This window comes from Homo sapiens, chromosome 3 (assembly GCF_000001405.40).
Source record: "Homo sapiens chromosome 3, GRCh38.p14 Primary Assembly".
NCBI lineage: Eukaryota > Metazoa > Chordata > Mammalia > Primates > Hominidae > Homo > Homo sapiens.
The window spans coordinates 160473255-160486090 of NC_000003.12; the positions used below are offsets into that span (position 1 = coordinate 160473255).

Consider the following 12836-nt stretch of genomic DNA (forward strand, 5'->3'; position numbering starts at 1 on the left):
CTTCACCTTTTCACTACAAGTTTATTCTGCCTCCAGAAAGCTGGCTTTGCCCTGAGGAATCATGTCTCCTGCAGCTCTTTCCAAGAATGCTGCTTTCTTCCACACCCAGATTCTTGAATAACCCAATCTCACCAGCTGTAGACACAGATGGGACCACATTTTGTGTTTGCTCCTTATTCCTGCAACCAGCAAACCCTCAGACCCCAATGTTTTCCCAGTGATGTGTTGTAGCCTCAGAAGGTGACTCACATGTACTCTTGGTCTTCTATTCTAGATTCTAAAGAGAGTTCACTGCCTCTGCAAGCCAGTAGAGGCTGGCCCTGATGCTGCCCGCAGGTGCTTATGGGTCCAGCCATACAGTAGTCTTGGGTACTGCATAGCAGTGAGGATTCTTTCTCCAACCCTGTATCCCTTAGGTTCCAAAGTCCCATAAGGTCCTTCATTATCCAGTCCCTACAGCTTCTACCAAAACCTCTTGGGGTATTGATTTCTTTCATTTTTCTCTGTCTCTTCCACAAACCCAGGCAACAACATCTTTTCCTCTTTTAGCCCAAAAAAGGTAACAGCATCCATGTACATTAAGAATACAAATGGATGCCATGGATTGGAGCTATTTACAGCCACACACAGCCAGCATCCACAGTGTTATACCCTTAACCTCCCGTCTTCTAGAAAGGACTTAGCCACTTCTATCTTCTAGAAAGGCTCTTAATTTTGGCTTTCAGGACACCACCTCCTTTGACCTTTCTCCTTCCTACCTGGCCCATCTTCTCTTTTGGAACTCCTTCCCTGGGCCCTAGCCTACATGTTGATGTTCCTCTCCTGAGCCCCATTTTCCTTTTACTCCACACATTTCTCTTGGCCACCATTACTCACTGACCATATGGCTTCAATTACTAGATATGCTGAGATTCCCAGATTCATAACTGTAACCCAGACCTCCTCCTCCCCTTCAGAGCCACATATTTACATGCTTACTGGACATCGCTTCTTGGATGTCTTCCAGGTACCTATCATTAGCATGTCCTAACTCATAGTCTTTCCCCACAAACTCTTCACCTATGTTCCCTATTTCAGTGAATGGTACCATCACCCTTCTAGTTGTCCCAGACTAGGGGTCTCTTACTTACTTCTATTTACCTTTCACTACTTACAACCAGTAAGTTACAAAGTCCAGAATCAGGTCTTGACTTCTTGGTTCAGGTCAATATGATTTCCAGTTGGAATTCCTATCAAACCAGTCTCCTCACCTAGGGTTTTGCTCCCCTCTATGGCAGTGCTTTGTCATCTGTTTCTCATCACAGCACACAGAAAATGACAACTTTAGTACAGCACACTGGGATAACAACTTGAGGCCACTGGAGGAAGCTACCAGTTCTGCCTTCTGCCTCAGAGTCTAAAAGGTTGATTACCTTGGCTCAAAGCCTGCTAGTAAGCTCTTCTCTGATTTTTTTCACCCTTTTGCAGCCAAAGTGTTCTCTCTAAAGCACAGACATTACCAGGTCCCAGACTCCCACTTTGGCTCTCCACCAGCTAGACCTTTTAGATCAGACCCCACCTCCCTCTCTAGCCTCCTCACCCCCTTGCCTTCTGCTCACGCCCCCTTCCTCATGTTCCAATCACACCAAAACGACTTGCTGTTATTACCCACAGAAGCCTGTGAGCTCTTGTCTCTAGACTTCCTCACCCTCCCACATCACCCTGTACCTACCCTGAGGCTGCACTCAGCATCTTCTAACAAACATGGAAATCCACCAAAGGCAGGGGCTGTGCCCAGAATTGCACCTGGCACATAGTGAGAATCCAAACACTTTTTGAAGAACGAGTGAATGAATGAATCACCTTTTGTGATAAATCAGTAAGCCAGGAGAGAGAAGCCTGGATCCCTGTTCTGCCACTAACCTGCTAAACCACTGTGGATACCTCTGTCTGGGCCTCAGTCTTCTCACCCATCAAATGAGAGGATCCATCTCTGAATTCCCCTTCCTGATGCAAAGGCCTGTGCACCCCTGGCTCTTTGGATCATAGAAATTCTGCAGTTATAAAATTCTTCACTTTTTTAAAAGACATTTGCTAAAAATGTCTGTATAAAAATGTCTGCATCAGCAAAAATAGGGAAGTAACTAAATGTAAACAGTATTTTTAAAATAATACTTTAAAAAATTCTACATTTAGGGAAGGCAGCAAACCTTGAATTCCCCCCTCTCCCCTGCACTTGGTAGGAGGAGGTAAGGCACTTGACCGTGGAGGAGGACGGGTTTCAAAGTCCCTGTGCCTCCTCTCTTCCTGCTGTGATCCTCTTCTCCTCCTACCTCCACCCTATTCATTTGATTCCAGGAAAGAACAGATTCACTGTTTGTTTCGAGACTAACTATGAAATAAGGTCCATGTGAAGGAGGTGAAGAGGTAGGTAACACAAGGTCTGAGGCAGGCTCTTCAATAAGTCCTTTCAAGACTGTCCTGATTGGCCGGGGGTGGTGGCTCATGCCTGTAATCCCAGCACTTTGGGAAGCCAAGGCCGGTGGATCACCTGAGGTCAGGAGTTCGAGACCAGCCTGGCCAACATGGTAAAACCCTGTCTCCACTAAAAATACAAAAATTAGCCCAGTGTGGTGGCGAGTGCCTGTAATCCCAGATACTTAGGAGACTGAGACAGGAGAATCACTTGAACCCAGGAGGCAGAGGTTGCAGTGAGCCAAGATTGTGCCACTGCACTCCAGCCTCAGCGACAAGAGCAAAACTTCATCAAAAAAAAAAAGAAAGAATGTCCTGATCTTCCCAGGCCATAGTCATCAGACAAAAAGCTTTAGTCATCATGAGGAAAATGAGTTATATATTAGTGCTACACTTTATACTGGGTAGTAACGCTAAATGAAAATGATGCTAATAAATGATCCAACTCAAGAAGAAAGAGAAATGTCAATCTTCCCATGGAAAAGAACCTAAGAAACTCAGTCACTGTTAAGGACCCTTGATCTTGAAATTCTGTTGATGTGTTTAGGATTAAAACCAAGCCTCAAACCAAACTGATTGCTCCTACTAAGGTTTCTGCCAGGTAGAAATTTTACAGTTGAAAGGCCTTGCTAATAGCTGCTCATCAAAATAATGTTAGCCATCAAATGCTGAACCATTGAGTTATTGTGTCCAGTGTGGGCAAAGTGAAGCCTATGCTATAGTATTCTTTTTCATGTATATATTTGTTCTTTAGTTTGAGGGAAACTATCATCATAGTAACCACATACACACATACATCTAGCCCTTCTCATAATCTAAATCTAGGGCAGGTGTGTTGGCTCACGCCTGTAATCCCAGCATTTTGGGAGGCCAAGGTGGGTTCATTGCTTGAGCCCAGGAGTTCAAGACTGGGCAACAGGACGAAACCCTGTCTCTACAATAAATACGAAAAATTAACTCGGTGCAGTGGCATGTGCCTGTAGTCCCAGCTACCTGGAAGGCTGAGGTGGGAGAATCATCTAAACCTGGGAGGTCAAGGCTGCAGTGAGCCATGATCATGCCACTATACTCCAGTCTGGGTGACAGAGTAAGAACCTACTTCAAAAAATAAATAAATAAATAAATAAAATAATGAAATAAAATAAAATAATCTGCCGGGTGCAGTGGCTCACGCTGTAATCCCAGCACTTTGGGAGACCTAGGTGGATGGATCACCTGAAGTCAGGAGTTCGAGACTAGCCTGACCAACATGGTGAAATCCCATCTCTACTAAAAATACAAAAAATTAGCTGGGCATGGTGGCTGTTATCCCAGCTACTCTGGAGCCTGAGGCAGGAGAATCGCTTGAACCCGGCAGGCAGAGGTTGAAGTGAACCAAGATCGTGCCATTGCACTCCAGCCTGGGCAACAAGAGCAAAACTCTGTCTCAAAATAAATAAATAAATAACCTAAATCTATAGACTAATGACTGTTTTTATTTCTGTAGTCCTTTACATTTGTAGGTATATATTTCTTATTGTCATATTTTACCTTCATTCACAGTTGCTTCTTTCTAATGCACCCAATCAATTAGCATTCTGGCATTGAGATTTGATGGCCTGAGAAATTTTAGAAACTTGTCACTTACTGGGTGTGGTGAGAATGAGGAAGGATAGAGAGAAAAGTAGATGAGAGAGAGGAGTGAAAGTTAAAATGAGTTCCTGCTTTGGCAGCTTCTCATTTTGCAATGTGTGCCCCTGGAAAGAAAGTGACTTTTCTTTTGGCTTTAGAGCAAGAGATACTAGGGTTATCTCAGTCAATATATGACTGCAGGCACTGCCTTCCAAAGGTAGCTTCCCACAGGAGGATGGACCCAGAGCTCTGTTTTCTGGGAAGTGGGATGATCAGTCTTCTGGGTTTCAAGAGTTAAAAATGAAAAGCCGAGCAACCCAAGAGGGACAGGGACAGTTTTGGTCCTCCGGGAGTGAATGCCAGAACCAATCATGACACAGAGGTCCCAAGGTAAGGAGTGACCTGCCAGGGACTCACAGAGATGAAGCCCCTGGGCTGGCCCCCTGGGAGTTAACCCCAAGTGAGAGCCTTCCTTCGCTTAGTCTAGCACTAAGGCTGGGAGTATCCAGCCTCGAAGCTTCATTTCAGTCTGATGCCTCACCTGGGTCTGTGGAGCGTTATCTCCCAGCGGACAACAGTAACTGCGGGTGGTCATGGAGGCCCAGCCTTGAAAAATGACCCTGAATGCCAGTGAGACACAGAGGCAGCAGTGGCTGTCTGGACTGATTAGACATGATTGCTTTTCTGGCTTGAGGTAGCAGTCAGCTGACCACATCCTTTTAAGTAGGGCAGGCCCTGAGGTTTTTGGAAAATTGGGAGGGGAAGACATAGATTTTTAAATTCCTTTGGTTTGTGTGAAAGTCCATCTTCAGGTATTTGGAGAGTTCTTTTAAGGTCTCAGGTTCTTCTTGCTGTCACACAGCAAACAACCTATTTGAACAGTCACTATTCTGTGGCAAACCTTGGTGCAGAGTTGGAGGTGAAGGTGTTATTGGAGATGAAGCAGTCTTAGTTTTTGCATTTTATCACAGGTAAATACAATTCTCTGTTTGTTGATCTTTTACAGGACAAGAAAACTGATGAGAGTTTAGGGATAAAGATGGCAGATAGGAGGCAGGACTAGCTTGCAGCTCCTGCTCAGATGGATAAAGCAGCATGTGGAGACTCATATCATGAACTTTTGCTGCAAGAACTACCGCAGGAACATAACAGGAAAGCTGAGAGAATCCACAGACCCTTTGAAGAAACTGGATTACTGCTGCAGGCTCCTTGAGACGCTGAAAAACTGAGTCAGCTTGCTTTCTCAACAGAGAGGCTCGTGGTCTGGGGCAAGTTCTCAGCCCTGGTCACCGGCTGCCTGGAAATAGACTCAGTGCTGTTGTGGGGCACGATTCTTTTTATTTATATTGACATTCTGTTTCATTTCACAAAGGGTTTAAGCCAAATCACCATTTTTTTTTTTTTTTTAAGACAGAGTCTTGCTCTGTTGCCCAGGCTGGAGTGCAGTGGTGCAATCTCAGCTCACTGTGCAACCTCCATCTCCCAGATTCAAGTGATTTTCCTGCTTCAGCCTCCCGAGTAGCTGGGTTTACAGGCGTATGCCACCATGCCGAGCTAATTTTTGTATTTTTAGTAGAGATGGGGTTTCACCATGTTGGCCAGTCTGGTCTCGAACTCCTGACCTCAAGTGATCCGCCCACCTTGGCCTCCCAAAGTGCTGGGATTACAGGTGTGAGCCACCATGCCTGGCCCAAACCACCATCCTTAATGCACAATTTAAAAACCAATTCTTGAAAAATCCATAAGGGATGAAAAAATTATCTGTGAAAACAATTTAAAAAGTTGAACTATCTAGTGACCCATATATTCCCTACCTTCTAATGTTCACCCCCTTGTATAGTCCCCTCACCTGAGTGTGAGTGGGACCTGTGACTTGCTTGTAACCAATACATTATGGCAAAGGTGATGGGATGTCACTCCTGTAATCACATGTTTTATAAAACTTCCTTTTGCCAGCAGTCTTGTTCTCAGTCTCCTGCTGGCTTTGAAGAAGCAAATACCCATGCTGTGAACTGCCTGTGGAGGGACCAACATGGCAAGGACGTGCAGAGAGTTTATAGGAGCTGGGAGCCTACAGCTTCAAGGGAGTGAAGGCTGCCAACAATCCGAGCGGACCTCAAAGTGGACACTTGCTCAGTCAAACTTTAAGAATAACATTCAGCCTTCACCCTGGTGGCAGCCTGAAACAGAGACTCTGAAGCAGAGAACCCAGCTAAACCATGCCTAGACTCTTGCCCACAAAAACGCGGAGATAAACAGATGTTGTTTTAAGCTGCTAAAAAATGTTGAAAGTTTCGGCCGGGCATGGTGGCTGTAATCCCAGCAACTTGGGAGGCCGAGGCAGGCAGATCGCTTGAGGTCAGGAGTTTGAGACCAGCCTGACCAACATGGAGAAACCCCATGTCTACTAAAAATAGAAAATTAGCCGGGCGTGGTGGTGCATGCCTGTAATCCCAGCTACCTGGGAGGCTGACGCAGGAGAATCGCTTGAACCTAGGAGGCCGAGGTTGTGGTGAGCCGACATCATGCCATTGTACTCCAGCCTGGGGAGGAAGAGCAAAACTCCGTCTCAAAAAAACAAATGTTAAAAGTTTAAACTATATGGCAGTATTTTTCAGCAACTCTATATGCAGAATGATTTTCTTCCTCACCCAATTTCCCCAAACATTAAGGCCTCTGCTGTTCAAAAGGGGGCAGGCAGCTTTAAGAAGGGAAGTCAAATGGCAAATAAATAGAAGCGAAGTTTAGCAATAATATTTGAGACATAAAGAAGACAGAACTTGCTAGGAGGGATTTTGTGAGATGACTAACCATGGTCATTGTTGGTAGCCGTCTGTACATTTTTCTTTTCTCCTTTTTCTCTTCTAAATCTCCTTCTCTTCTTTTTCCTTTGCCTCTTTATGTTCCAGAAAATATGCTTAGCACTCTGCAGGTATTTACTACCTCATTTAATCCTCCCATGGCACAGAACGCATGTATTTTCCTCAGATAGAGAAACTGAGGCTCAGACGGATTAAGTTGTTGTTCTCATCTAACAAATTAGCTAGGATAAATAATATATGGAGGTAGGATTCAAACTCAGGCCTGCTGAAGACAGAGGCCCATGTTCTTTCCACCACACTGAGGTCTAAGAAGGGAACCAGAGTTTAAGTGTCTGCAAGTACAGAGATTTGGTGGACAATCCATACTTTATTTGAGGATCTCCCACCGCCTCCTCCCCACTTTTTTCCTACTACTTATAACACTCTATAAGAATTTTGTCTTCAATTCAAGAGTGTTGAAATATTGTTTATTTTATTTTATTTATTTATTTTTTTGAGACAGAGTCTCATTCTGTCACCCAGGCTGGAGTGCAGTGACGTGATCTTGGCTCACTGGAACCTCCGCCTCCCAGGTTCAAGTGATTCTCTTGCCTCAGCCTCCCGAGTAGCTGGGATTACAGGCGTCTGCCACCACACAGGGCTAATTTTTTGTATTTTTAGTAGAGATGGGATTTCACCATGTTGGCCAGGCTGGTCTCGAACTCCTAACCTCAAGTGATCCACCCACCACACCCTCCCAAAGTGCTGAGATTACAGGCGTGAGCCGCCACCCCTGGCCAACCCACTGTTCACTTAATTTCTCCGTGTGCTGCTGGTATTCAAGGCTGAAGTCTGAGGCTGATGTGAACGTAAATGGAGGTTGGGCTCTCTCACCTTGGGCAATGCTCCCAGTGATGTTCCCCTGGCTGGCTGGCTTTCCTCTGACTCCTGGTGGCAGGCCCCTGAGTCTCTGCAATATCTTCTCTCTCCAGTCTTTGAGACTTGGTCTCCGCTCAGCCTCTGAGTGCGGGTGAGTCACCTTGCTCTACCTCACTGAGTCTCAGGGTAGATGTGCTGCTACTAATTCAGTGTTGGCAATGCTGGGGAGCTGTGGGTGTGTCAGGGAAGCGAAATATGAAGACCTCCTTCTGTTGAACCATGTCACTACATTGATATGGCAGCTCTCCTGTTGTGTAGGGCAGCCTGAGAGATGGTGCTTTCCAGGAGCCTGAAGAAAGTTGTGCCTATTCCCCCTTCCTATTTCTTTTCTGTTTCTACTTGAAAGATTTAGGGGAGCTGAGGTGGGTGCCTATTCCCCCTTCCTATTTCTTTTCTGTTTCTACTTGAAAGATTTAGGGGAGCTGAGGTCAGGAGTTCAAGATCAGCCTGGCCAACATGGCAAAACCCTGTCTCTACTAAAACTACAAAAATTAGCTGGGCATGGTGGCAGGCACCCGTAGTTCCAGCTACTCAGGAGGCTGAGGCAGGAGCTTCGCAGGAACCCGGGAGGCAGGGGTTGCAGTGAGCCGAGACTGCACCAATGCATTCCAGCCTGGGTGACAGAGTGAGACTCCATCTAAAAAAAAAAATAGAAAGATTTAGGGGAAAGCAGGAAAAATAAAGATCATTTAGAGAAGCCAAGCCAAGAGACTCTATCTTTCCCTAAACATCCTTTAGGCAAACTGCAAGGGAAGAATGTTTAGGAGCCTTAATAACCATCTTCAAAATCAAACCCAAGACACCGCAGGCCTTGATAGAACGATCTAAATAGTAACCGGAAAATAAGAGCTGCAGTTGCAATGAAAGGTCTACGGGAATAAGTTGGAACATGAGAGAGGTGAGCAGGTCCTGAGGTGGCGCTACCCTTCACATTATCCGCTTGACATTTATGGCAAATTCAGAACAGCAGGAAGGAAGGACTGCAACTGCCAGTAAACAATGACCCTATGCAGACCTTGAGCTCTTCCTCTCACCCTTGCACACTCTTTGGCCTGGACTTACAGTTGCAGCTGTAATGCCCAATGATAAATTCATCTGTAGTCCTTTGTTACAATCAGCTGTAATATAAGATCCATGAGAGGAGGAACTTTGTCTTATTTTATTTACTACTAAATACTCTTAGGGCCTAGGGCCTAGCACAGCACTCAGTAAATAGAAGCCTCAAGAAATATTTGTGGCCTGATTAACTGATTATTTTATAAATTGTGTACTATGTTGAAACTTTTTTATCAGCATGTTCTGTGTTGAAGGCAATAATTCTATAGTGTATTAGCTTACTTAATTTTTTTCCATGTAATAGTTATCATTATTATTATTTTATCAAAGGGCCTTGTTCTGTCACCTGGGCTGGAGTGCAGTGGCACGATGATGGCTGACTTCAGCCTCACCTTCCTGGGCTGAAGTGATCCTCCTGCCTTAGCCTCTGGAGTAGCTGGGACTACAGGTGTGTGCCACCATGCCTGGCCAATTTTTTTTCCTTAATTTTTATTAGAGATGAGGACTGGCTTATGTTGCCTAGGCTGGTCTTGGACTCCTGGGTTCAAACAATCCTCCCACCAAAGTGCTGGGATTGCAGGTGACAGCCACTGCACCTGGCCATACATTTTGAGCTATACAGTAGATATATAACAATTTTTTTATTACAATGCTAGTTCCATTAAAAAATGCTTTTACTGGATTTTTTTATTTTTTGTTTTGCATAACCAAAAAACATAATCCCACAATTATGGCAAAAACATATATGGTCATTGCTATAGTTTGGATATTTGACCCTCCAAACCTCATGTTGAAATCTGATCTTTAATGTAACAGGAGGCATCTGGGTTGTGGGGGTGGATCCCTCCTAGATGGTTTGGTGCCTCCTCGCAGTAATGAGTGAGTCTTGCTCTATTAGTTCCTGCAGGAGTTTCCCTGAGAGCTGATTGTTAAAAGAGCCTGGCAACTGTTCCACCTCTCTCTTCCTTCCTCTCCTGCCATATGATCTCGGTGTGGCCAGCTCCCCTTCACCTTCCACTGAGGGAAGCAGGCTGAAGCTTTACCAGAAGCAGATGCTGGCGCCATGCTCTTGTACAGTGTGCAAAACCGTGAGCCAAATAAACCTCTTTTCTTATAAATTACTCAGCCTCAGGTATTCCTTTATAGTAATGCAAACTAACTAGATGGTCACATTGCAAATATCCAATAAGGCTTTAATTTGAGAACAAAGTTACTAATCTTGGTTTAGTCTGCTATTACATTATTTTGATGCCATTCAATTTATCAAGTATTCATAAAGTATCAATTGTGATAATGAAATATTTGACATTTATAAGATATGAACCCAGTCCTCTCTTCCTGGGATGCCAGAAAGCTGCCCATATCCTTAGGAAATTGCTAAGTAACAATACAGTGAATATATGACTAATATGCTCAAATGAGTGATATTAATGGTGAATGCTCTGGGAACATGAAAGACAAGGGTGAGGTCATATGAACTGTAAGAGACAAGGGAGGCTTCAGGGAGAAGTGGAGATAGCCCTGCCCGGACCCCCTTCTTAGAAGGCCCCGCTCTGACCCTTCTCTGGCCACAGTCCAACAGAGTGAGGAGTCCGTCAGGAAATGCCTACCAGGGCCTGCACTCACCCCCTCTCTTCTAGACCACACTCTGTGTACTAGGACCCCCAGAATTCTGGCCAAACACCCTGAGTCCACTTCTAATGCCTGTATAAGGCCTCTTATGCTGGCATCCACAGCAGGCAAAGGAATGAGTAAAAGGTAGAAAAGAAACTAGGTGGGCCACGGGCCTGAGGCAGAGGGCCAAGGGCTGGCTCTTCCTGCCCCACTACATTTAGGCACAGAACAATAATTCAAAATTAGAACTCCCCCTTCCAGGTTATTTATGAAGTATATTTGTCAAGGTAGGAAGATAGCACACATCTTCTCTTTCAAGTTTTTAGGTTAATTTGTATGATTAAAATATTTAGATATAAGTAACATTGACCCATATTTGTACTTTTGCCCGATCCCCAACAAATGTTATAAACAGGCCTGATCAGAAAGAATGAGGAAAGGGAAGGACTGGTATGGAATGAGAACAGAATAGCTAGTAGAAATGCTATGGACTCCATTCAGGTGTGAAAAGTGAACCTCTCACAGTGCTTGGGATGATGGATAGTAGAAGAAATATTCTTTTTGATGAATAAGAAAAGAAAAGCCCTTACCTGAACTTGTGCATGATTTTGCGAGCTACTAGCTTTCTTTTCAATAAATTCCTTTGCAGCTTAAATCAAAGAGCATATTTTTAAAAAAATATTTTTTAGTTTTTAAAATTGAGACAGTCTCACCCCTGTTGCTGAGGCTAGAGTGCAGTGGCATAATCACTGCTCACTGCAGCCTTGACTTCCCTGGCTCAGGTGATTCTCCCACCTCAGCCTCCTGAGTAGCTGGAATTACAGGCACATGCCACCACGCATGGCTTTTTTTGTATTTTTTGTACAGACAGGGTTTCTCAATGGTGCCCAGGCTGGTCTTGAACTCCTGGGCTCAAGTGATCCGCCTGCCTCAGCCTCCTAAAGTGCTGGGATTACAGATGTGAGCCACTGTGCCTGGCCCAAAGTCCATTTCTGAATTGCAATTAAGACAGATATCACAAGCACACAAGAGAGCCCAGGTATAATAGAAGTGTTCTATAATAACAAACTAAAAAACAAATAAAACTGAGACCAAGCAAAATGTCCAACAGGAGAATAAGAGGTAATTCAGATAATGGTCATTTCAGATAATGAAATACTATGTAGCCTTAAAAACCATGTTGAAAAAGACCATTTTTGTGACTTGGGAAATTATTCACAATATTAGTAAAAAGAACTGTATACAAAATCATACATAGTATAAATAATGTCGTTTGTTTTTAAAAATGCACCATATGCATATTGAAAGGCTGAAAATAAATATACTATAATGGTAACAGTAATTGTTTGGTGGATTATAGACTTTTTTATTACTCTGTATTTCCAAATTATATACAATGAATATATATTACTGTTGTCATCAGAAGACCAACAACTGTAATAAACACAAACACACACATCTGAGGGACAAAGATCTGAGTGAAGAGAAGAGCAGAACTAAGAGTTATCTCCAGAGGATTCCAGTCCAGTATGGTGATGGAACATTTGTGTTTTCTCTATTCTCTCAGGAGAACCTGATGAAATAAATATAACTACATAGAAGAGCAAAAAGGCATAAACGCTTACTTACCAGTGAAGGCTGAACCATTAGATGAGAGGTATCAAATGACTTCAGGAAGATGAGAAGATCGGAGCATGTGGATGGGTTAATCAGAGTGGAGGAAGCCCATAACACAAGTCTAAGTAAGGAAGAGGCTAAAGTAGAGGTGAGAGCTTAGCTTAGTGATGGAAAGCTGAAGAGGCTCTAGGCCAGGGGTGGGCGCTATGCAGAGACAAGAAAGGGGTCTCGGGCCGGGCGCGGTAGCTCACGCCTGTAATCCCAGCACTTTGAGAGGCCGAGGTGGGCGGATCTCTTCAGGAGTTTCAGACCAGCCTGACCAACATGGTGAAACCTCGTCTCTACTAAAAATACAAAAATTAGCCGGGTGTGGTAGCGGGCGCCTGTAACCCCAGCTACTCACGAGGCTGAGGCAGGAGAATCGCTTGAACCCGGGAGGCGGAGCTTGCAGTGAGCCCAAATCGCGCCACTGCACTCCAGCCTGGGCGACAGAGCGAGACTCCGTCTCAAAAAAAAAAAAAAAAAAAAAAAAGGGATCTCAACATAATATACTGAAAGTTAACATCTGGCCTCTTTAACTCCCCTCCCTTCTCATATGTGCATTACTGTAAAAACAATCCATATTTAATCCTGAGGGCAAAAAAGCGAAAGGAAAAAGAAACAAGTGGGCTCTTACCAAAAGAAAATGGTCTGGTTAGGGGGAACTGAGGCTTCCTCCCTCTTTTATTCTGACATTTGAGGCTT

At 44.3% G+C, this 12836-nt stretch overlaps 1 long non-coding RNA gene across 1 annotated transcript in view; it reads right to left on the bottom strand.

Annotated features, from left to right (window-relative positions):
• TRIM59-IFT80 (TRIM59-IFT80 readthrough (NMD candidate)) overlaps window positions 1-12493 on the bottom strand; it is a 258294-nt gene extending 245801 nt beyond the window's left edge. The window contains exon 1 of the long non-coding RNA NR_148403.1: window positions 12105-12493. This is a non-coding gene — a long non-coding RNA (TRIM59-IFT80 readthrough (NMD candidate)). The remainder of the gene's footprint in view (window positions 1-12104) is intronic.
• Between the last annotated feature and the right edge of the window lie 343 nt (window positions 12494-12836).